Genomic DNA, 20,856 nt, shown 5'->3' with positions numbered 1-20,856 from the left:
TGACACACCCCAGCTTCTGAGTCTTGGGGTGAAGACTTAGGGGTAAGTCACCCTTCCCCCAGGCTTCTCTATTGACTCGGGGAAAGGTCTGGTGCGTGCAGAAGAGCTGAGCTTTGTGGCTGGAGCCCCCCGCGCCAACCACAAGGGTGCTGTGGTCATCCTGCGCAAGGACAGCGCCAGTCGCCTGGTGCCCGAGGTTATGCTGTCTGGGGAGCGCCTGACCTCCGGCTTTGGCTACTCACTGGCTGTGGCTGACCTCAACAGTGATGGGTGAGTGGGTAGAGGGCCGTGCCACCTGAGGGAGGCTGGGTCTAGTAGCCCCAGTCTGGCTGAGGCCACTTAGCCTCCTGCTGGCTCCTCTGGCCAGGGAGGACCCACACTGAATGTTTCCCTCTCTCCATAGCTGGCCAGACCTGATAGTGGGTGCCCCCTACTTCTTTGAGCGCCAAGAAGAGCTGGGGGGTGCTGTGTATGTGTACTTGAACCAGGGGGGTCACTGGGCTGGGATCTCCCCTCTCCGGCTCTGCGGCTCCCCTGACTCCATGTTCGGGATCAGCCTGGCTGTCCTGGGGGACCTCAACCAAGATGGCTTTCCAGGTGTGACGGGGAACTGGAAAGGCTCAGGGAGGGAGGGGCCACAGGAGGGATGGGGAAGCCCCTCAGAGGTCAGGGTGTGGTCTTCTGAGGACTCAGGGAGAGAGGGTCCCTGAGCTTATGTCTGAGCTGTACCATTTACCAGCTTTCTGACCTTGGCAAGTTCCTAACCTTTTTGCGTTAGTAATATCTGCAGGGAGTGGCCAAGAGGATTAAAGATGATGTATGTAGAGTGCCTGGGATTTTGTAGCCTCTCAATAAAATAGAAAACATACCTGAGTGACTGGGGGGAGTTGAGGCCTGGATCTTGTCTGCAAGGCCCCCAGCCAGCGTGACTGCCTTTTCCCTGTGCCCTGCAGATATTGCAGTGGGTGCCCCCTTTGATGGTGATGGGAAAGTCTTCATCTACCATGGGAGCAGCCTGGGGGTTGTCGCCAAACCTTCACAGGTGAGGGGAGTCGCTGGGATGAGGGAATGGGTGTGGGTGGAATCAGCAGAGGCATCAGGGGAGGCAGAGGCCTGCGGGAGGTGGGATTGAGGGAGGCTGACAGCTGGTTCTCTAGGTGCTGGAGGGCGAGGCTGTGGGCATCAAGAGCTTCGGCTACTCCCTGTCAGGCAGCTTGGATATGGATGGGAACCAATACCCTGACCTGCTGGTGGGCTCCCTGGCTGACACCGCAGTGCTCTTCAGGTGAGCCCCTCTCAACCTTTTCCCTCCCTGAGGCCGTCAGCCCCTCCCTGTGACTCTGACCCCGACCTCAGTGCCAAATCTAATGCTGAAGAGTGTTTCCCAGCCTCATGTTCTCATGTTTCTTGTGCTCTTGACTCCCCAATCCCAGGGCCAGACCCATCCTCCATGTCTCCCATGAGGTCTCTATTGCTCCACGAAGCATCGACCTGGAGCAGCCCAACTGTGCTGGCGGCCACTCGGTCTGGTGAGGTGGGATCGGGTGGCACCTGGACCCTGGCAGCTTCCCCTGCCCTCCCTTTGATCCTTTATCTCCCCAGTTTGGGGCTGGGGCTGTGACAGGATGTGACAGATGGGGTGGGGGTAGGGGCCTTGGCCCATCAGCCTCGTTTGGCTCAGGAGCCACCTTTGCCCCCGCAGTGTGGACCTAAGGGTCTGTTTCAGCTACATTGCAGTCCCCAGCAGCTATAGCCCTACTGTGGGTGAGTGCGGTCCCCCCTCTGTGGCTCGCCCTTTTGGGTTTCCCAGGGAGGGGGGTCACTTCGAGGTGGTAGAAGAGCACCCTTGGAATGGGGTGAGCTGGAGCAGCTCTGCAGCTCAGCAGCTCCTCCTTTCCCAACATGCCACAGCCCTGGACTATGTGTTAGATGCGGACACAGACCGGAGGCTCCGGGGCCAGGTTCCCCGTGTGACGTTCCTGAGCCGTAACCTGGAAGAACCCAAGCACCAGGCCTCGGGCACCGTGTGGCTGAAGCACCAGCATGACCGAGTCTGTGGAGACGCCATGTTCCAGCTCCAGGTGGACACTGACCCCTTGGCTTCTGAGGGTCATTTTCATGGCTCCATCTCTTTTCCCTGATTCCTCTTAGCTGCTTTTTCCCGAGCACACTCGTGCCTCCTTCTAAGACCTAGACACGTGGGAAACCTGTCTTCTGAGCTCACTTCCTCCTCATCTGCTGCCCTCTCCTGTCATTTCTGCACTCCCTGGAGGAGGAGGAGGTGCAAGGGGCTTCATGTCCCCTCTTCCAGCTGAATGGAGGAGGTGGCAGCTTTTATCATCACATCTGGTCCTCAAAGCCCTAAAGGTTTCCCCTGTCCCCTACCCCAGTCTTTCTCCCTCCTCCTTGCTCAGTTCTCCACCTCTCTCATTCATCTCCCTAATATTCTTTCCAAGTTTTAGAATTGGTCCTAGGTCTGGCTGGGGCACTGAGCAGGGCTGAGGCCTGGGGATTGTTCCAGTGAGGAATAGACCTTCCTCTTCCTAGGAAAATGTCAAAGACAAGCTTCGGGCCATTGTAGTGACCTTGTCCTACAGTCTCCAGACCCCTCGGCTCCGGCGACAGGCTCCTGGCCAGGGGCTGCCTCCAGTGGCCCCCATCCTCAATGCCCACCAGCCCAGCACCCAGCGGGCAGAGGTGAGCATGGGTTCTGGTTTAGCCCAGGGGGAGGAGCTGGGAGGGCAAAGATCATGGTCCCTCCCCAGTGACACCAATTCACAGCTCACAGAGCCCTTTCACGTATGCTACTCCAGTAATTCCTCATATCTCTAGGTGCCTAAATGACCATGTTCCTAGTCAAGGGGACAGAGCTCCTCTACTCCATGTAGTCATTCAGGGGGCTCAGGTTGATGGGATTCTGTAATCTTCAAATGCGGCCTTCAAGCTCTTGAAGTCACATTCATCCCATTCAGCTGGAAGGGAGAACATGAGGCCCCTTGCTTGCATGGTTTTTATGGCTGGCCCAGAAGTGGTGCCCTTGACATCTTTTCCCGTTCTAAATCCGGAACTCAGTTACATGCATGTGAGCTGGGGCAGTGTGGCCCAGCTCTTGACTTGCTGCTAGTCTCTACCATGGCATGGTAGTGCTCCCATCACTACCATGATGAGAGGACCCAGAGGAGAGGACCCAGTTCAGGATCACATGGCTAATAAGCAGCAGATCTGAGAGTTGAGGACAGGTTGTTTAATCCTGTGATACTCTAACCCACCATATGCCATGGTGACAGGTTTGCCCCCTGCCTTGCCCCCTAGGAATGCCCCTTATCTCATGTCTCTCCCCAGATCCACTTCCTGAAGCAAGGCTGTGGTGAAGACAAGATCTGCCAGAGCAATCTGCAGCTGGTCCGCGCCCGCTTCTGTACCCGGGTCAGCGACACGGAATTCCAACCTCTGCCCATGTGAGGGGGGCAGAGAGCAGGGTGGGGGTGGGAGGGCAAGAGTTCAAGGATTGAGAGAAAGCCCTCTCAGGAGGACCAGTCAGAGGGAAGGGCTGAGCCTGCAGAAAAGGCAGAAGGTGGAAGAGGACCTGCCGATGGACTTGGAGACTGAGATGAGGGTCAGTGATGGGGCCACGGGGGCTCCCATGGCAAGGAATAGCAATCCTTCACAGTACACTAATAATATGCAGTCTACATACATCTCATTGGTTAGTCTTCAAACCTCTGTGAGGTAGGAATTATATTAGTCTCATTTTATAGATGGAGAACTGAAGCCTAGAGAGGTTAAGTTACTTGGCCAAGGTAAGTAATGGTGGAGCTGAGATGAGAACGGAGGTCCCCTGACTCCCAGTCGTGTGTACAGAGGCCTGAGGCTTGGACGGGTGTGATGGGGACCTGGGGTGGGAAGAGAGGCTCAGGGAGTGAAGGCAGGTACTGGGGGAGCAGACTGGGCGGGGGAATGGTAGGGGGAGGTGTTCAGAACTTAGCAGGAGTGGGGTCTGACTCTCCAGGGATGTGGATGGAACAACAGCCCTGTTTGCACTGAGTGGGCAGCCAGTCATTGGCCTGGAGCTGATGGTCACCAACCTGCCATCGGACCCAGCCCAGCCCCAGGCTGATGGGGATGATGCCCATGAAGCCCAGCTCCTGGTCATGCTTCCTGACTCACTGCACTACTCAGGGGTCCGGGCCCTGGACCCTGCGGTGAGGACCTGGGGGCAGGATGGGGTGGGGTCTTGAGGGGCTCCAGTAACCCAGACTGACCTTGCCTTCTCTCCCATTCCAGGAGAAGCCACTCTGCCTGTCCAATGAGAATGCCTCCCATGTTGAGTGTGAGCTGGGGAACCCCATGAAGAGAGGTGCCCAGGTTGGCACATCTGCCCTTATCCCTACGTGAGTAGCCTCTCCATAAGCCCGTAGACCACCCCTGACTCTAATCTCTTTCCACCCTTGGCCTAGGTCACCTTCTACCTCATCCTTAGCACCTCCGGGATCAGCATTGAGACCACGGAACTGGAGGTAGAGCTGCTGTTGGCCACGTAAGCCAGGCGGGGCCGGAAGGGTGAGGTGGGGGTAGTCATATTGACCTCATCTGACCCCTTGGGAGGTGCCTGTGCCTGATGCCCATACTTGCCCCTGCCCACTCACCAGGATCAGTGAGCAGGAGCTGCATCCAGTCTCTGCACGAGCCCGTGTCTTCATTGAGCTGCCACTGTCCATTGCAGGGTGAGCCTGGCCCAAGGGGGCACCTCCATTGGAGGGAGGGGGCATTGACATTTCCAAACCTTGGCCAGGGCCCTGCCTTCATTGAGCCAGGCCCCAGACCTTCTCACCCCTGTTCTGACCTCTCCACGCCAGAATGGCCATTCCCCAGCAACTCTTCTTCTCTGGTGTGGTGAGGGGCGAGAGAGCCATGCAGTCTGAGCGGGATGTGGGCAGCAAGGTCAAGTATGAGGTCACGGTAAGTGTCAGGGATGAGGCCCCTCCATGGTCACCCTCCCTCCTTGGCACAGAGGAGAGGCTGAGCTGTGTCCCCAGGGCTGGGGCTCTTCTACCATGTGGCAGCATGCAGTTTGAGGCCTCTGTCCTGCATATGGACCTTGGCTGTGGGAAGGTGTTCCTGCTGGGGCCTCATTTGACCATTTCCTGGTCATTCTGTCTGGCTGTCTCACCTGCTGGTGTGGTAGGCCATGAGAGTCCAGGGAAGCTTCTCTGCTGTGGGCCTCAGCTGGGGGATGGGAACATGGGGCGGGGGGTTAATGTCTCTCCCTAGAACTCTGCCTTTGCTTGGCTGGGGCCTCTCCTCACACCTTCCAGGGACACTTCCAGGGTTTCCCGGATTTGGTGGGTGGAGAGAATGGTGCCTGGTGGGGTCTAGGATCCTGAGTATTTGTTGAAATTGTGTTTCCTGAGGGCCTTCTCTTCAGCCCTTGTTCCTTCCATCTCTGTGGATTTAGGATCCACTTGAAAGCTGAGTTCCTTGGCTGGGCACGGTGGCTCATGCCTGTAATCACAGCACTACAGGAGGCCAAGGTGGCAGGATCACTTGAGCCCAGGAGTTAGAGACAAGCCTGGGCAACATAGATCCTGTCTCTACAAAAAATTAAAAAAAAAAAAAAAAGAAAAACTGAGGTCTCTCCCCTCATACTCTCTTTTTCCCACAGGTTTCCAACCAAGGCCAGTCGCTCAGAACCCTGGGCTCTGCCTTCCTCAACATCATGTGGCCTCATGAGATTGCCAATGGGAAGTGGTTGCTGTACCCAATGCAGGTTGAGCTGGAGGGCGGGCAGGGGCCTGGGCAGAAAGGGCTTTGCTCTCCCAGGCCCAACATCCTCCACCTGGTGAGGCTTAGGTGGGGGTGGGGGTTAGATGTGGGGACAGATGTTATGGGGAGTAAGGGTAGTGAGTGCAGTGATGGGGCAGGAGGAAGGCGGTGGGGAGGAGATTCGATCTTAGCACTGCTGTGATTGGAGGGACACTCACTAAGACCCCCCTTCCGTGTCCAGGATGTGGACAGTAGGGATAGGAGGCGGCGGGAGCTGGAGCCACCTGAGCAGCAGGAGCCTGGTGAGCGGCAGGAGCCCAGCATGTCCTGGTGGCCAGTGTCCTCTGCTGAGAAGAAGAAAAACATCACCCTGGTGAGGGCAGGCCAGACTCGGTGCAGCCAGAGCTCCGGGGTGCTGCGTGTCCAGGAAGGGTACCTGTTGAGACACATGATGGTCTGGGTGCAAGTTGACCAGATGTTCCCATCACAATTCATAGGAGGGGGTGCCCGGGAGGCAGCTACTGACACTGCAGACCCCCTTCCTGCTCAGCCCCTGCAATTGCTCACTCTAGAACAGGTCACTCCACCTGAAGCCAGTTAGTTAGCCAAGCAATTGATTCACATTACGTTTATATAAAGCATTACATTTTATACGTGATGGGATGGGGTTAGCCCATCCTCACACTTTGAGGTCTGTTTGTCGTTCTTTTGAACTCTTATAAGATAAAAAAGTCAATTTGTGTAAGGACACTTGCTTGATTTTTACAGTATTAAAAATGTTAAGTTCTTTTTTGTTGTTGTTGAGACGGAGTCTTGCTCTGTCACCAAGGCTAGAGTGCAGTGGCACGATCTCAGCTCACTGCAACCTCTGCCTCTGGTTCAAGCGATTCTCCTTCCTCAGCCTCCTAAGTAGCTGGGACTACAGGTGCATGCCACCACACCCGGCTGATTTTTGTATTTTTAGTAGAGACGGGGTTTCACCATGTTGGCCAGGCTGGCTGGTCTCGAACTCCTAACCTCGAGCGATCTGTCTGCCTCGGCCTCCCAAAGTGCTGGGATTATAGGCCTGAGCCACGCGCTCAGCAAAAACACTAAATTCTAAAAGTTCTAATAATTAAGACAACCGTATATTATATGTGATTTATTAAGTTTACCCCTTTTGAGCAGTTTTGCTTTCCCCTTTTCTGCTTGTTTTGCAGAGTTGTGTTGTTTAGGTGAAGGTATTGAGCAGATCCGCACATGCTCTGTGCCCCTCCCTGCTAGGATGGGGCTCGCAGTGAGAATGTGGTGGGGACTTAGATTAGGAGGTCTTTGGCTTGATTGTAAGGAGGTGGAGGTAAACCCCAGGTAGAGCCAAGGAGACCCTTTGCAGGGGAATGTCAGCAGCTGCTGCAGTCCCTGCTTTGGGCCCTCAGCTCCCCTGGGAGCATGGCATGAGGCAAACTGAAGAACGTCAGGGGATGTAGGAACCCATGTCGTGGCTGTTGCTCTATTACATGGATAATCCTCCCTTCTCCACGTGACCGATTTCCTCTGAGAGGCCTCCCTTTTAAATGGGAACTTTGAAATAGATTCTTTTTGTTTTCATGTTAAAATGTATTTATTTATTTAAATGACAAAAATTATATTTATCATGTATAATACAATGTTTTGAAATATGTATATACTGTGGAATGGCTATATTGAGCTAATTAACATATGCATCACCTCACATACTTATTTTTGTGGTAAGAACACTTAAAATCTATTCTCTTAGTGATTCTCAGGAATACAATATGTTGTTATTAACTACAGTCCCCATGTTGTGCATTAGATCTCTTAAATAGATATCTCTTCCTTCTGTCTAACTGAAACTTTGTATCTTTTGACCACCATCTCCTCCATCTCCCCAGCCACACCCCGCCTCCACTCCAGCCCTAGGTAACAACTATTCTACTCTCTACTTCTATGAGTTCAACTTTCAGATTCCACATATAAGTGAGATAATGCAGTATTTATCTTTCTGAATCTGGCTTACTTTGCTTAACATAATGTCTAAAGTAGATTCTTTTTTATTTTATTTTATTTTTTTATTTTTTATTTTTTAATTTTATTATTATTATACTTTAAGTTTTAGGGTACATGTGCACAATGTGCAGGTTAGTTACATATGTATACATGTGCCATGCTGGTGTGCTGCACCCATTAACTCGTCATTTAGCATTAGGTATATCTCCTAAAGCTATCCCTCCCCACTGCCCCCACCCCACAACAGTCCCCAGAGTGTGATGTTCCCCTTCCTGTGTCCATGTGTTCTCATTGTTCAATTCCCACCTATGAGTGAGAATATGCGGTGTTTGGTTTTTTGTTCTTGTGATAGTTTAGTGAGAATGATTTCCAATTTCATCCATGTCCCTACAAAGGACATGAACTCATCATTTTTTATGGCTGCATAGTATTCCATGGTGTATATGTGCCACATTTTCTTAATCCAGTCTATCATTGTTGGACATTTGGGTTGGTTCCAAGTCTTTGCTATTGTGAATAGTGCCGCAATAAACATACGTGTGCATGTGTCTTTATAGCAGCATGATTTATAGTCCTTTGGGTATATACCCAGTAATGGGATGGCTGGGTCAAATGGTATTTCTAGTTCTAGATCCCTGAGGAATCGCCACACTGACTTCCACAAGGTTTGAACTAGTTTACAGTCCCACCAACAGTGTAAAAGTGTTCCTATTTCTCCACATCCTCTCCAGCACCTGTTGTTTCCTGACTTTTTAATGATTGCCATTCTAACTGGTGTGAGATGATATCTCATTGTGGTTTTGATTTGCATTTCTCTGATGGCCAGTGATGGTGAGCATTTTTTCATGTGTTTTTTGGCTGCATAAATGTCTTCTTTTGAGAAGTATCTGTTCATGTCCTTTGCCCACTTTTTGATGGGGTTGTTTGTTTTGTTCTTGTAAATTTGTTTGAGTTCATTGTAGATTCTGGATATTAGCCCTTTGTCAGATGAGTAGGTTGCGAAAATTTTCTCCCATTTTGTAGGTTGCCTGTTCACTCCGATGATAGTTTCTTTTGCTGTGCAGAAGCTCTTTAGTTTAATTAGATCCCATTTGTCAATTTTGGCTTTTGTTGCCATTGCTTTTGGTGTTTTAGACATGAAGTCCTTGCCCATGCCTATGTCCTGAATGGTAATTCCTAGGTTTTCTTCTAGGGTTTTTATGGTTTATGTCTAACATTTAAGTCTTTAATCTATCTTGAATTAATTTTTGTATAAGGTGTTAGGAAGGGATCCAGTTTCAGCTTTCTACATATGGCTAGCCAGTTTTCCCAGCACCATTTATTAAATAGGGAATCCTTTCCCCACTGGTTGTTTTTCTCAGGTTTGTCAAAGATCAGATAGTTGTAGATATGTGGCGTTATTTCTGAGGGCTCTGTTCTGTTCCATTGATCTATATCTCTGTTTTGGTACTAGTACTAAAGTAGATTCTTTTACTAAAAAGGCAGAAGGCCTTGCTTTTAGACAGCTTGGCTAAGGATTCTTGAATGGCTCAAAAGTGGCAAAATAAAAGATAACTCAAATAATTCAGACACTCTTAAAGCCATTCTTCTGTGTCTGGATCGTGGTGTGATGAATATAACATAACTTTCAGGCAAATGGGTCGTGAGGTGGTGATTGGGCCAAATGGATTTAGGTCAGTCCTGGAAAGAACAGAGCCTGAGTCCCCTGTCTACCCAGGAGCTCCTGAGGCTACCTCCTCCTCCTTCAGCGAGTTTGGGTTTAGGGCAGGGGTGTGGCTTTGCCGAATATGGACCTGAGTTCAAATATTTGCTCCACCACTCATTAGCTTTGCTAGTGCTGTGACCTGAGGCAGGTCGCTTGGCCTCCTTGGGCCTCCTCAGTTTCTTCCTTTGAAAAATGAGGATGATAATGTGCACCTTGTAGGACTATTGCGAAGCTTAAGTGAGATAAGTGCCTGACAAGTAGTAGGTGCTCAATAAATGGGACTGTCATTAGGTAACATAAGCATCACTTGGGGAAGCTACTCTGCCTGTGCTGTCAAGTAAGAGATTCCCTTCCATGCTGCCCCCTCCACGCATTTCAAAGCTGAATAGCTCAGATTTGGGGCAGGCAGCTATTTTGGATATAAGATTAGTTTGAGAAGACTTCCTGGAGGAGGGGAGTTTGAGGTCAAGTAAGGAAAATGGGAGAGATGGCAGTCTCAGCAGGGTTGAGCTGAGTGGCTTAGACCCCTGTCTGTCCTTATCCCTAGGACTGCGCCCGGGGCACGGCCAACTGTGTGGTGTTCAGCTGCCCACTCTACAGCTTTGACCGCGCGGCTGTGCTGCATGTCTGGGGCCGTCTCTGGAACAGCACCTTTCTGGAGGTGAGGATACCACTCGGCTCTAGTCTGTGTTTCTTCTTCCTCCAAAGCCCCTCCAGGACTCATTTCTCCTCCTCCTTCCTCACTGTCCAAATGCAGCATCCCCCCCCTTTTTTTTTTTTTTGAGACGGAGTCTTCCTTTGTCCCCCAGGCTGGAGTGCAGTGGTGCGATCTCAGCTCACTGCAACCTCTGCCTCCCAGGTTCAAGAGGTTCTCCTGCCTCAGCCTCCTGAGTAGCTGAGATTACAGGCACGTGCCACCACACCCGATATTTTTGTATTTTTCATAGAGACGGGGTTTTGCCATGTTGGCCAGGCTGATCTCAAACTCCTGACCTCAGGTGATCCACCCTCCTTGGCCTCCCAAAGTGCTGGGATTACAGGTGTGAGCCACTGTGCCCAGCCCAAACGCAGCATACTCTTAACCCAAACCAGGCAGAAACATCCTCTGTGTTGGGCACCATTACATTTATAATTTCAGGAGGTAAGGGGAAGGGAGGGAGACATGGGGCATTTAGGAGAAGGGTCTCCTTCCCTGTTCCCTTAGGAGTACTCAGCTGTGAAGTCCCTGGAAGTGATTGTCCGGGCCAACATCACAGTGAAGTCCTCCATAAAGAACTTGATGCTCCGAGATGCCTCCACAGTGGTGAGCTGCAGGGTTGGGGGATAGGTGGGGAGGACTCTCTTCTTTCCTGCTCCCTCCAGTTCTTGTTCCATTGACCTCTTGCTCCATTGACCCCTTGCTCCCCAGATCCCAGTGATGGTATACTTGGACCCCATGGCTGTGGTGGCAGAAGGAGTGCCCTGGTGGGTCATCCTCCTGGCTGTACTGGCTGGGCTGCTGGTGCTAGCACTGCTGGTGCTGCTCCTGTGGAAGGTGAGGCTTGGAGGTGGGGCTGATGGGGGTGGACTTCCTGGTTGGGTGAGCAGCATTTTGTATTGTGGTTCTGTCACCCACCCACACACTCATGTATTCAGCAAATCTGCACTGAACACTTGCCCTGCATGTCTCAGGAACTCTATTAGTCCCTGGATGTTTCAAAGATAAATCAGATGCAGGCTGGGTGCAGTGGCTCATGCCTGGAATCTCAGCACTTTGGGAGGCCTAGGCAGGTGGATCACTTGAGGTCAGGAGTTCGAGACCAGCCTGGACAACATGGTGAAACCCCATCTCTACTTAAAATACAAAATTAGCTGGGCGTGGTGGCACGCACCTGTAGATCCAGCTACTTGGGAGGCTGAGGCAGGAGAATCGATTGAACTCGAAAGGTGGGGTTGCAGTGAGCCGAGATGGCGCCATTGCACTCCAGCCTGGGTGACAGAGCGAGACTCCATCTCAAAAAAAAAAAAAAAAAAAAAAGCCGGGCATGGTGGCTCATGCCTGTAATCCCAGCACTTTGGGAGGCTGAGGTGAGTGGATCACCTGAGGTCAGGAGTTCAAGACCAAGCTGGCCAACATGGTGAAATCCTGTCTCTGTTAAAAATACAAACAAATAAAAAAAATTAGCTGGGCATGGTGGGGGGTGCCTGTAATCCCAGCTACTTGGGAGGCTGAGACAGGAGAATCGCTTGAACCCGGGAGGTGGAGGTTGCAGTGAGCCAAGATTGCGCCACTGCACTGCAACCTGGGGGACTGAGCAGGACTCTGTCTCAAAAAAAAAAAAAAAAAAAAAAAAAAGAAATCAGATGCAGATCTCGTTCTCAGGGATTTTATAGTCCAGTGGGATGGGAGTGGTGAGCCTGTAGTCAAGGACAAGGCAGGAAGTGTTGAGTTGAGAAAATGGAGTGGGAGTTTAGAGGGAAAAAAGCTTGAGAGGAGGTAGCACTGGAACCAGTCCTCAGAGGAAGGTGGGGTAGTAGGGTGAGGATGTAAGGGGATGAGGTAGGTGGGGTCCAGCAGGACCATGGTAGGCAAAGTCGTGGAGGCAGAGAAGTGTGATCTGACTTAACTAGAATGTGGCAGTGAAAACTGGAAAGGTAAATGTGGCCAAGAAGGCCAACAAGCACGGAGAACGGCCTCCAGGGGACTGCCCTCATGGCGGAACTCAGAGCTTCCACATACCAGGCTCTGCATGGAAGCATTCTTGTACACCCAGAGCTGTATACCGAATCATACTGGTATCCAGGGCTCAATGTAAAAGTATGCACATGCACACGTCAGTACACGGAATCACATACATCACCGGGGTCATATGCTGAGCCATCTGCCACATCGGGGGCTATGTTCAGAACCACACATGTCCTTGGGGCTCTGGAGAACTGCCCCTGCCTGTGCCTGCTCTTTGGGACCAATCAGAGACTGAGCCACCCTTTGGCAAGTGTGAATCATCAGTAGACCAGGCTCTGGAGTGGCATCCAAGCTGTTGGGAACCTTCCCAGTCTTAGGGGAGATTGATGCCTCTGTGAAACTGGTCCCAGGATGCTTGCTCCCTGCTCCCATGGAAGGAAGACAGAGCAGAGATAGGGGATCCTGTCCTTCCTCAATCTTTCCATCCTCTGCTTCCTCTGCCCTGCTTCTCCCTCGACATCCTAGTGTGGCTTCTTCCATCGGAGCAGCCAGAGCTCATCTTTTCCCACCAACTATCACCGGGCCTGTCTGGCTGTGCAGCCTTCAGCCATGGAAGTTGGGGGTCCAGGGACTGTGGGGTAACTGTTGTGTGTGTGCATGTGTCTAGTGTGTGTGGGTATGTATGTGTGTGAATATAAGGAGAATTCCCAGCATTCAGGGGATCAGGAATGTTCAGGGTGAAAAATGAGATTGCATGAGAGTGATGTGAGGTGAGAGGTAATTAGAAGGGTGCAGATATAAGGGTAAGTCTACACAGCCTGAGGCGTGCACAAAGGGTTGGTGGGCTCATGGGGTGTGAGCATGTGGGAGTGTGGGGAGGTCGCATGCATGCTTTTTTCTATGGGCATGAGTGTGCAAGGAGATGAATGTGTAAGGAGATGCCATGCAGTCTGAGCATGTAGGAGTCCTGGGCCTCTGAGTGTGAGTGTGCAGGGGCACATTCCCACCCTGGTGTGTAAGGGCCAGCATGGTCCTCATTTAGGGTGGGGCTAGACTACTGTATTGATGGACAAGAGGGTATTGCTGTAAGGGGCGTGCCGCCCAAGGTACAAGTACACGGGGTGCATGTTTATGAGGCTTGAGAGGTATCATTCCAGAGATGCAGGGGACTAGGAAGCCATTTTCTTCCTCAGGTCTTGTTTGTGTTCTGGGGGACACTATTGGGTCTCTTAAGAAGCTAGAGGGGGTACAAATCTTGAGTCCGGTCCTGATGCTCCACCCTCAAGGCCCTCTTTCAGGGGCCAAGGGAGATACCCTTGGTCCTGCCTCTTGGACGCCCTTCTGGTCTCTCTCTTGCTGTGAATGAGAACCTGGGGACACAGCACTGATGGGAGCACCGTGGGTGCTGCCCACCACACCAGATGCTATTCAGCCTATTTCCTTTCTGCCGCAGCAGGGATGGTGAGGGTGAGGAGCTGTGCCGCGCTAGGCATCTGCTCCAGGGACCGCAGCTCTTCAGGCTCCTCATGGTCTGGCCTGGTGTCCTTATAGATGGGATTCTTCAAACGGGCGAAGCACCCCGAGGCCACCGTGCCCCAGTACCATGCGGTGAAGATTCCTCGGGAAGACCGACAGCAGTTCAAGGAGGAGAAGACGGGCACCATCCTGAGGAACAACTGGGGCAGCCCCCGGCGGGAGGGCCCGGATGCACACCCCATCCTGGCTGCTGACGGGCATCCCGAGCTGGGCCCCGATGGGCATCCAGGGCCAGGCACCGCCTAGGTTCCCATGTCCCAGCCTGGCCTGTGGCTGCCCTCCATCCCTTCCCCAGAGATGGCTCCTTGGGATGAAGAGGGTAGAGTGGGCTGCTGGTGTCGCATCAAGATTTGGCAGGATCGGCTTCCTCAGGGGCACAGACCTCTCCCACCCACAAGAACTCCTCCCACCCAACTTCCCCTTAGAGTGCTGTGAGATGAGAGTGGGTAAATCAGGGACAGGGCCATGGGGTAGGGTGAGAAGGGCAGGGGTGTCCTGATGCAAAGGTGGGGAGAAGGGATCCTAATCCCTTCCTCTCCCATTCACCCTGTGTAACAGGACCCCAAGGACCTGCCTCCCCGGAAGTGCCTTAACCTAGAGGGTCGGGGAGGAGGTTGTGTCACTGACTCAGGCTGCTCCTTCTCTAGTTTCCCCTCTCATCTGACCTTAGTTTGCTGCCATCAGTCTAGTGGTTTCGTGGTTTCGTCTATTTATTAAAAAATATTTGAGAACAAAACCTCTGCCTCTTTGAGTCTTGCTCTGGCATCCCCAGCATCTCTGATTCTCCCTGGTGCCCCCAGCTCAGGAAGAAGGTGGTAGTGGGGAGAGAGGGTCAGGGGGGCTTGGCAGGGATGCAGGCACCATGACTTTTGTGACCAGTTCCTAGAGACGCATGGGTGTAGCCTCAGGAGGAAAGCGAGAGGAGCTTTACCATGGGAACGAAGGAAAGGGACAACATTGGGAGGCAAACGTTGGGAGACTAGTCCAGAAACTTGCAGTTGAGGATACAACAGGGTCCTAGTGTTTCCTCCCTGGGTCAGCGTAGAAGTAGAGCTTTTTCACTGTCGAAGGCGGGATTGAAGTTAGAGATTGCCCTGGCAGAGGTTGGGGAGAGAGGGACTAGTAGGTGGTACATGAATGTCTTCTCTCATTCTGCTAGGTCCCTCTCAGTGGAAGATAGATAGGCTGGTGGGTGGCTTGTTCTAATTGGAGGCTGGGGAAGGAGCAAATGAGTGCCTTGGAGCTTGGGAAAGATTATTTGACAGCCTTTCCCATGATGTGGGGCCCAACAGGTAGCCACTTCAAGGGAGGGGGCTGTCGTTCCATTTGGATTTCGGAGAACTGGGCGTTCTCAAGATCCTTCCAGGTCTCTCTGGTGAGGCAGCAGCCATCCCCAATGTGTTTCCAGGTGGGCTCGAAAACTTGCTGCCACATGAAGGCCCAGCTTCCATATGGTTCTGCCACATGCTCCCAGAAAAAGAGCACACCTCCCTGGGAGGGATGAGAGAGTTAGTGTCACTTGGCTCCATTCTGACCCTGCTCCCTATCGCGCTGATCAAGACAGTCAAACTTCTTGGTGAAATGGGAGCTGCTGGTCTGAGAGTTCATGGAGCAAACTGTCGTGCCCCTGACCTTTTCTGCATCCCCTGCTACCGCCTTCAAAGTGCATGTGAAGAACCTCATAACTGAAAGGAGTGGCTGGTGGGAGATCTTTAAAGCCTGACCAGAATAACCGAGGGCATGCAGAAGGGGAAACTGAGAAACAGGAGTGGAGGGCTCATTGTATTATTATTATTATTATTATTTTTTGAGACAGAGTCTCAGTCTGTTGCTCAGGCTGGAGTGCAATGGCGTGATCTCGGCGCACTGCAACCTCCACCTCTCAGGTTCAAGCGATTCTCCTGCCTCAGCCTCCCAAGTAGCTGGGATTACAGGCATGAGCCACCACGCCCGGCTACTTTTTGTATTTTTCAGTAGAGACAGGGTTTCACCATGTTGGCCAGTCTGGTTTCAAACTCCTGGCCTCAAGAGATCCACCTGCCTTGCCTCCCAAAGTGCTGGATTACAGGCGTGAGCCACCTCGCCCAGCTGGGCTTATTGTATTCTGAGATACACGCACAACCTCTCTCACAAAACCCAGATGCATGCACAAGCTGCTTCCTGGACATCGCTGTGAACATCCCAGGGAAACCTCAGGCCCAACTCTTGACTGAAGCTGGGGTTCCTCAAGCTCCTCGCCTCACTATACTCTCCCTAGGTGATCTCAAACCTAGTAAGTCCAAAACAGCTTTCTTCCATCTCAGCAAATGGCACTTTTCATCAGCTCTCCCCTCAGTTGCTCATGCTAGAAACCTGGAAACTATTCTGAACGTTCTCTCCACAGTCTGATGGATTCTACTCTACTTCCCCTACTATCTTTACCTAGAACACTCTTTTATTTTCCCCACCCCGTCCACACTCTGCTTAATCCCTCAGATCTCTCTCTCTCTCTCTCTTTTTATTTATTTATTTATTTTTTTTGATACAGGGTCTCACTCTGTGGCCCAGGCTGGAGTGCAGTGGTGCGATCATAGTTCACTGTAACTTTGAACTCGGGCTCAAGTGATCCTCCCACCTCAGCTTCCTGAGTAGCTAGGACTATAGGCATGTGCCACCACGCCTGGCTAGCTTTTGTATTTTTTTTTTTTTTTTTTTTTGTAGAGACGGCATCTCACTATGTTGCCTTGGCTGGTCTTGAACTCCTGGGCTCAAGTCATCCTTCTGCTTCAGCCTCCCAAGCACAGATCTCGATTTAAACCTCAGTTCCTTAGGTGTCCTCCCCACTCCCCTCCCTGTCCCATGGTGGTAGGTGATCCTCCTGTTGCTTCCACAGCACCCAATTGTGCCCCGTCATGGCACTGGTCATGTCTCCTATTCACCAGCAGGTAGAGGTGGATGGGGTGTCTAATGTGCTACTTACTACCTCAGACGCCCCATTCTGGGGGCCGAACCCTGGGGCGGCTGATGCTGCGTTTGCCTGCCCCACACCCATCCCCTTCCCACCCTGCTTACCGGTCTCAGTACTCTCCGGACCTCCTGCAGGACCTTCCTTGGGCTCTGCACAGAGCACAGCACCAGAGTGCAGACCACCACATCCATGGAGCCATCAGCCAGCTGTCTCATGTCCTCTCCAGGAGCCACCACAAACCGCTCATATTGGAGGTGCCTGTTCTCAGCCATGCTCTTTGTCAGGAACTTCTCAAAGTGGGGATTTGGGTCTAGGCAGGTGACCCTGCAGCCCGGTGGGTAGAACTGAAAGTTGGCTCCGGTTCCGCAGCCCAGCTCCAGTAGGGCCACTTTCCCGGAGGCTCCTGTAAGCCCCTTTATCTGGCTGAAGAGCTCCCGTTTCTTGCTCTCCATCTTGCGGTTGCTCTTGGGAGTCAGCACGGCCATCAGGTAGGGGAAGTAGCTTTTGCACAGGGGCTGCCAGCAGCCCAGCAGAGCCATGAGGTGCAGGGGCAGGGTAAGAAGCAGCACCAGCAGCTGCAGGAGTGGGACCAGGATGTCCATGGCAGACCAGCTCTGAGCTGTGCTTCCGCTGGGGCACTGGCTTTTTCCCTGCTCAGCCTCTGCAGGCGCTGGCGTCCCCTCCCGCTGTGATAGGACTTTGCTCCTTGTCTCCTACTTGACAATTTCCTATTTGCCAGAGTTGAGTGGGTGTATGGAATTCCTCCAGAGGGCGCAGGTCCCACAGCCCCACAAGCTCTTCAATGACTTTTATGTGGGCGGAGGGACAGGTGGTACCCATGTTCCTGAGTTCTGGGGCACTGTGCCCAGCTGAAGGGGGGCAGGGGCTGCTGAGTCATCTCAGAGGGAGTGGGAAGGGGTAAGGGGATATGTTTCAGATGACAGACTCATGGCGGGGGAGTGTCGGGGGCTGGCAGGGCGTTGGGGGTGGGTTGGTAGTGGTGAATGCTGGGGACAGAGTTGACTCATGGGACATATCCTGGCCTCATTTCGTCCTCAGGTCAGGCACTTCAGAGGGGCCATAGGAAGGGAAGGGTGCTCTTGGCAGAGGAAAAAGTAGGTGTACAGGACAGAGACAGCATGCCCTCTCCTGGAAAGGGTGAGAAGTTTAGTTCTGTGGGGAATGGGGTAAGTTGGACAAATAGGGGGAAGTGAGGTCAGAGAATAGCCACTTTTTAGAGATCCTTCCCTCCCTCCCTCCCTTCCTCCCTTCTTTCCTTCTTTCCTTTTTTTGAGACAGGGTCTCTGCTGCCCAGGCTGGGGTGCAGTGGCAGCAGTCTGGGCTCACTGCAACCTCAATGTCCCTAGGCTCAAGTGATCCTCTTACACCAGCCTCCTGATTTTCTGGGACTACAAGTGCATACCACCATGCCCAGCAATTTTTTTTTTTCTGTAATTTGTAGAGACAGGGTTTCACCCTGTTGCCCAGGTTGGTCTTGAACTCCTGGGCTCAGGTGATCCACCCACCTCGACTTCCCAAAGTGCTGGGATTACAGTTGGGAGCCACTGCGCCTGGCTGAGAAGAATTCTTTTTACAAAACATTATTAAACAACTTTTTTTGGAAGAGGCAGTACATTCACTTAGTACAAAATTAAAAAGATACTAAAGAGATTACAGGGAAAATTCTCTCTTCTACTCCTGTGACCCAACCACTCAGATCTCCTCTCTGGAGGCACTAAATGCCATATTGCCAATTTCTTGTGAATCCTTCCAGAGATGACCTGTGAACGAGCAGGGAACACACACACCACGTGTTTAGATCCATGTACATATATACATATACATATTCCCTTTTCTTTTACAAATAGTAGTATATTGTACACACTCTTGTATACCTTGCTTCCCCCCCTTCTTAACAATGTATTGGATTTAGTAGATAATAGCAAATGGGTTTCCAAAGTGATTGTACCCATTTACACGTCCACCAGCAATATTTGGTTTTATGTGTCTTTTATGTGTTCATATTATTATTGATGCATAGATTCCTATTTTATTCACTGATTTGTAACCTAATACCCTATTTATTTATTTACAGTTTCTTTGAGGTATAATATATATAAGAAGGTTTACATATTTACAGTATATAGATTATTTTTGACACAGTATATACCTGGGAAACCATTACCACAGTCGAGATAATGAACATGTCTATGTGTTAGGCTTTTGCATTGCTGTTAAGAAATACCTAAGGCTGGTTGATTTATAAAGAAAAAAAGTTTAATTGGTTCATAGTTCTGCAGACTGCACAGGAAGCATGGCACCAGTATCTGCTTGGCCTCTGGTGAGGGTCTCAGGGAGCTTACAATCATGGTGGAAGACGAAGGGGAGCAGTGTATCACATGGCAAGAGAGGGAGCAAGAGAGACCTTGCGTGAACTGCCAGAGCGAGAACTCACTCATCACCAAGGGGTTGGCACTGAGCCACTGATGAGGGGTTGGGACCTCAGGAGCCAAACACATCCCACCAGGCCCCACCTCTGACATTGAGGATTACATTTCAACATGAGATTTGGAGGGGACAAACATCCAAACTATATCAGTTTCCTTGTGTTTCTTTGTAATCCATTCGCCCCTCTTTCATCCCCATCTTCAGGTAACCGCTGATCTGCTCTCTGTCAGTATAGATTAATTTCTCTTCTCTTCTCTTCTCAGGCAGAGTCTCACTCTGTGGCCCAGGCTGGAGTGCAGTTGTTTGATCTTGGCTCATTGCAACCTCCACCTCCCAGGTTCAAGTGATTCTCCTGCCTCAGCCTCCTGAGTAGCTGGGATTACAAGCATGCACCACCATGCCCGGCTAATTTTTGTATTTTTAGTAGAGACGGTGTTTCACCATATTGACCAGGCTGGTCTCAAACTCCTGACCTCGGGTGATCCGCCTACCTTGGCCTCCCAAATAGTTTGCATTTTCTGGAATTTTGTGTAAATGGAATCCTATAATGTATGGGATTTCAGCATCTGGCTTATTTCATTCAGCATGTTTATTTGGAGAGTCATCCATGTTGTACATGCATCCGCAGTTCATTTCCATTTCTGAGTAGTATTCCATTGTATGGATATACCACATATATTTTTATCCATTCACTTGTTGATAAACGTTTGGGTTGTTTCCAATTTCTGACTGTTAGAAATAAAGCTACTATGAACTGTTTGTGTACATGGGTTTGTGTGGACGTATGCTTTTATTTCTCTTGGGTGAATACCTGGGTGTGTATTTTGATGTTCAAATTGCCCTAGATTTGGCTGGGGGAGCACCTGCAAGCTGGCTCCTGTCTCCTTTTGACACAACTCCATCACTCTTTGAGCATTTTCTTACTTTCTGCTACAAGAAGATGTTCCAGGCTCATCTTGTATTTCCCCTGCTCCAGCCCCGAACTTAGTTATTTCTCAAAGAAGCACTGGTCTTTTGTGAGGAGGATGGTATTTAAAAACCAAGATCTGAATGCTGGATGTGATTATCACTGGGGAGTAATTGCTCCTGGGCCTGCTCCATGGACACAGAAAGAGGCAAAGTAGTATTATCCTGTGCTTTTTATTTGCTCTTTTCTTTTTCTTTTCCTTTTTTTTTTTTTTTTTTCCTGAGACAGAGTCTCACTCTGTCGCCCAGGCTGAAGTGCAGTGGCACTATCTCGGCTTGCTGCAACCTCCGACTCCCGGATTCAAGCGATTCTCCCTCCTCAGCCTCCCGAGTAGCTGGGATTACAGGCGCATGCCACCACACTTGGCTAATTTTTGTATTTTTAGTAGAGACAGGGTTTTACCATGTTGGCCAGGCTGGTCTCGAACTCCTGACCTCAGGTGATCCACCAGCCTCGGCCTCCCAAAGTGCTGGGATTACAGGTATGAGCTGCCGTGCCCGGCTTACTTACTCTTTTCTGCGTGAGGTTGAATTTTTGTTTCTTATAATTAAGAGCCTCTGTATTTCCTTTTCTAGAAATTTTCATTTTATTTTTTATTTTTGAGATAGCCTTGCTCTGTCACTCAGGCTGGAGTGTAGTGTGCGATCACAGCTCACTGCAGCCTCAACCTCTCAGGCTCAAGCAATCCTCCCACCTTAGCCTCCTGAGTAGTGGTCACCACAGGTATATGCCAACATGCCCAGCTAATTTTTCTTTTTTTTGAGACGGAGTCTTGCTCTGTCACCCAGGCTGGAGTGCAGTGGCATGATCTCTGCTCA

The 20,856-nt window shown here is 51.1% G+C and overlaps 2 protein-coding genes across 28 annotated transcripts in view, besides 6 other annotated features; one reads left to right on the top strand and one right to left on the bottom strand.

Moving 5' to 3' along the window:
• Window positions 1-14,412, top strand: part of ITGA7 (integrin subunit alpha 7) — a 31,833-nt gene extending 17,421 nt beyond the window's left edge. For 18 of the 27 annotated variants that reach the window (XM_047428797.1, XM_005268844.2, XM_005268848.2 and 15 more), the window contains 20 exons: window positions 63-270; window positions 404-597; window positions 954-1,042; window positions 1,158-1,285; window positions 1,434-1,529; window positions 1,703-1,764; window positions 1,912-2,081; window positions 2,548-2,697; window positions 3,343-3,458; window positions 4,010-4,202; window positions 4,285-4,365; window positions 4,458-4,537; window positions 4,650-4,724; window positions 4,857-4,959; window positions 5,663-5,839; window positions 6,005-6,136; window positions 10,023-10,136; window positions 10,680-10,778; window positions 10,884-11,009; window positions 13,692-14,412. In XM_047428797.1, coding sequence (XP_047284753.1) covers window positions 63-270; window positions 404-597; window positions 954-1,042; window positions 1,158-1,285; window positions 1,434-1,529; window positions 1,703-1,764; window positions 1,912-2,081; window positions 2,548-2,697; window positions 3,343-3,458; window positions 4,010-4,202; window positions 4,285-4,365; window positions 4,458-4,537; window positions 4,650-4,724; window positions 4,857-4,959; window positions 5,663-5,839; window positions 6,005-6,136; window positions 10,023-10,136; window positions 10,680-10,778; window positions 10,884-11,009; window positions 13,692-13,922 — 2,624 coding nt within the window. In that variant the 3' untranslated portion in view covers window positions 13,923-14,412. Of the gene's footprint in view, window positions 1-62; window positions 271-403; window positions 598-953; window positions 1,043-1,157; window positions 1,286-1,433; window positions 1,530-1,702; window positions 1,765-1,911; window positions 2,082-2,547; window positions 2,698-3,342; window positions 3,459-4,009; window positions 4,203-4,284; window positions 4,366-4,457; window positions 4,538-4,649; window positions 4,725-4,856; window positions 4,960-5,662; window positions 5,840-6,004; window positions 6,137-10,022; window positions 10,137-10,679; window positions 10,779-10,883; window positions 11,010-12,665; window positions 12,779-13,691 lie in introns of all 27 variants that reach the window. The other 9 variants (XM_047428798.1, NM_001374465.1, NM_001414029.1 and 6 more) reach the window with 5 other exon arrangements.
• Window positions 3,986-5,185: an enhancer, noted in NCBI's record as "CDK7 strongly-dependent group 2 enhancer chr12:56087579-56088778 (GRCh37/hg19 assembly coordinates)". NCBI's record gives its function as "activates an origin of replication core promoter dependent on BRD2, BRD4, P300/CBP, MED14 and CDK7 cofactors, with strong dependence on CDK7, by STARR-seq in HCT116 cells {active_cell/tissue: HCT116}" and the evidence as "EXISTENCE:reporter gene assay evidence [ECO:0000049][PMID:35650434]".
• Window positions 3,986-5,330: a biological region, named in NCBI's record as "CDK7 strongly-dependent group 2 enhancer GRCh37_chr12:56087579-56088778".
• Window positions 4,329-4,829: an enhancer, noted in NCBI's record as "H3K4me1 hESC enhancer chr12:56087935-56088435 (GRCh37/hg19 assembly coordinates)". NCBI's record gives its function as "activates a minimal SCP1, AML or CMV promoter by ChIP-STARR-seq in primed H9 embryonic stem cells {active_cell/tissue: H9 hESC(primed)}" and the evidence as "EXISTENCE:reporter gene assay evidence [ECO:0000049][PMID:30033119]".
• Window positions 4,830-5,330: an enhancer, noted in NCBI's record as "H3K4me1 hESC enhancer chr12:56087434-56087934 (GRCh37/hg19 assembly coordinates)". NCBI's record gives its function as "activates a minimal SCP1, AML or CMV promoter by ChIP-STARR-seq in primed H9 embryonic stem cells {active_cell/tissue: H9 hESC(primed)}" and the evidence as "EXISTENCE:reporter gene assay evidence [ECO:0000049][PMID:30033119]".
• Window positions 13,384-13,883: an enhancer, noted in NCBI's record as "H3K4me1 hESC enhancer chr12:56078881-56079380 (GRCh37/hg19 assembly coordinates)". NCBI's record gives its function as "activates a minimal SCP1, AML or CMV promoter by ChIP-STARR-seq in naive H9 embryonic stem cells {active_cell/tissue: H9 hESC(naive)}" and the evidence as "EXISTENCE:reporter gene assay evidence [ECO:0000049][PMID:30033119]".
• On the bottom strand, window positions 14,369-17,244 carry TMT1B (thiol methyltransferase 1B). The gene is made up of 2 exons (NM_152637.3): window positions 16,728-17,244; window positions 14,369-15,167 (listed from the first exon to the last, which is right to left on the bottom strand). The coding sequence occupies exons 1-2, from the start codon at window positions 17,223-17,225 to the stop codon at window positions 14,931-14,933; spliced, it is 735 nt and encodes a 244-aa protein (NP_689850.2). The 5' UTR covers window positions 17,226-17,244; the 3' UTR covers window positions 14,369-14,930.
• Window positions 16,910-17,585: an enhancer, noted in NCBI's record as "H3K27ac-H3K4me1 hESC enhancer chr12:56075179-56075854 (GRCh37/hg19 assembly coordinates)". NCBI's record gives its function as "activates a minimal SCP1, AML or CMV promoter by ChIP-STARR-seq in naive H9 embryonic stem cells {active_cell/tissue: H9 hESC(naive)}" and the evidence as "EXISTENCE:reporter gene assay evidence [ECO:0000049][PMID:30033119]".

Source organism: Homo sapiens, chromosome 12 (assembly GCF_000001405.40).
Source record: "Homo sapiens chromosome 12, GRCh38.p14 Primary Assembly".
Taxonomy (NCBI): domain Eukaryota; kingdom Metazoa; phylum Chordata; class Mammalia; order Primates; family Hominidae; genus Homo; species Homo sapiens.
Note: the sequence above shows the minus strand (reverse complement) of the source record. Positions and strands in the feature narration are given on the sequence as shown.

Excerpts from the sequence above, each read along its gene's own strand:
- TMT1B (NM_152637.3), bottom strand. The coding sequence starts at position 17,225 with ATGGACATCCTGGTCCCACTCCTGCAGCTGCTGGTGCTGCTTCTTACC. Across the intron at positions 15,168-16,727 it reads TCCGGAGAGTACTGAGACCG|GGAGGTGTGCTCTTTTTCTG; the intron begins GTAAGCAGGGTG and ends CATCCCTCCCAG.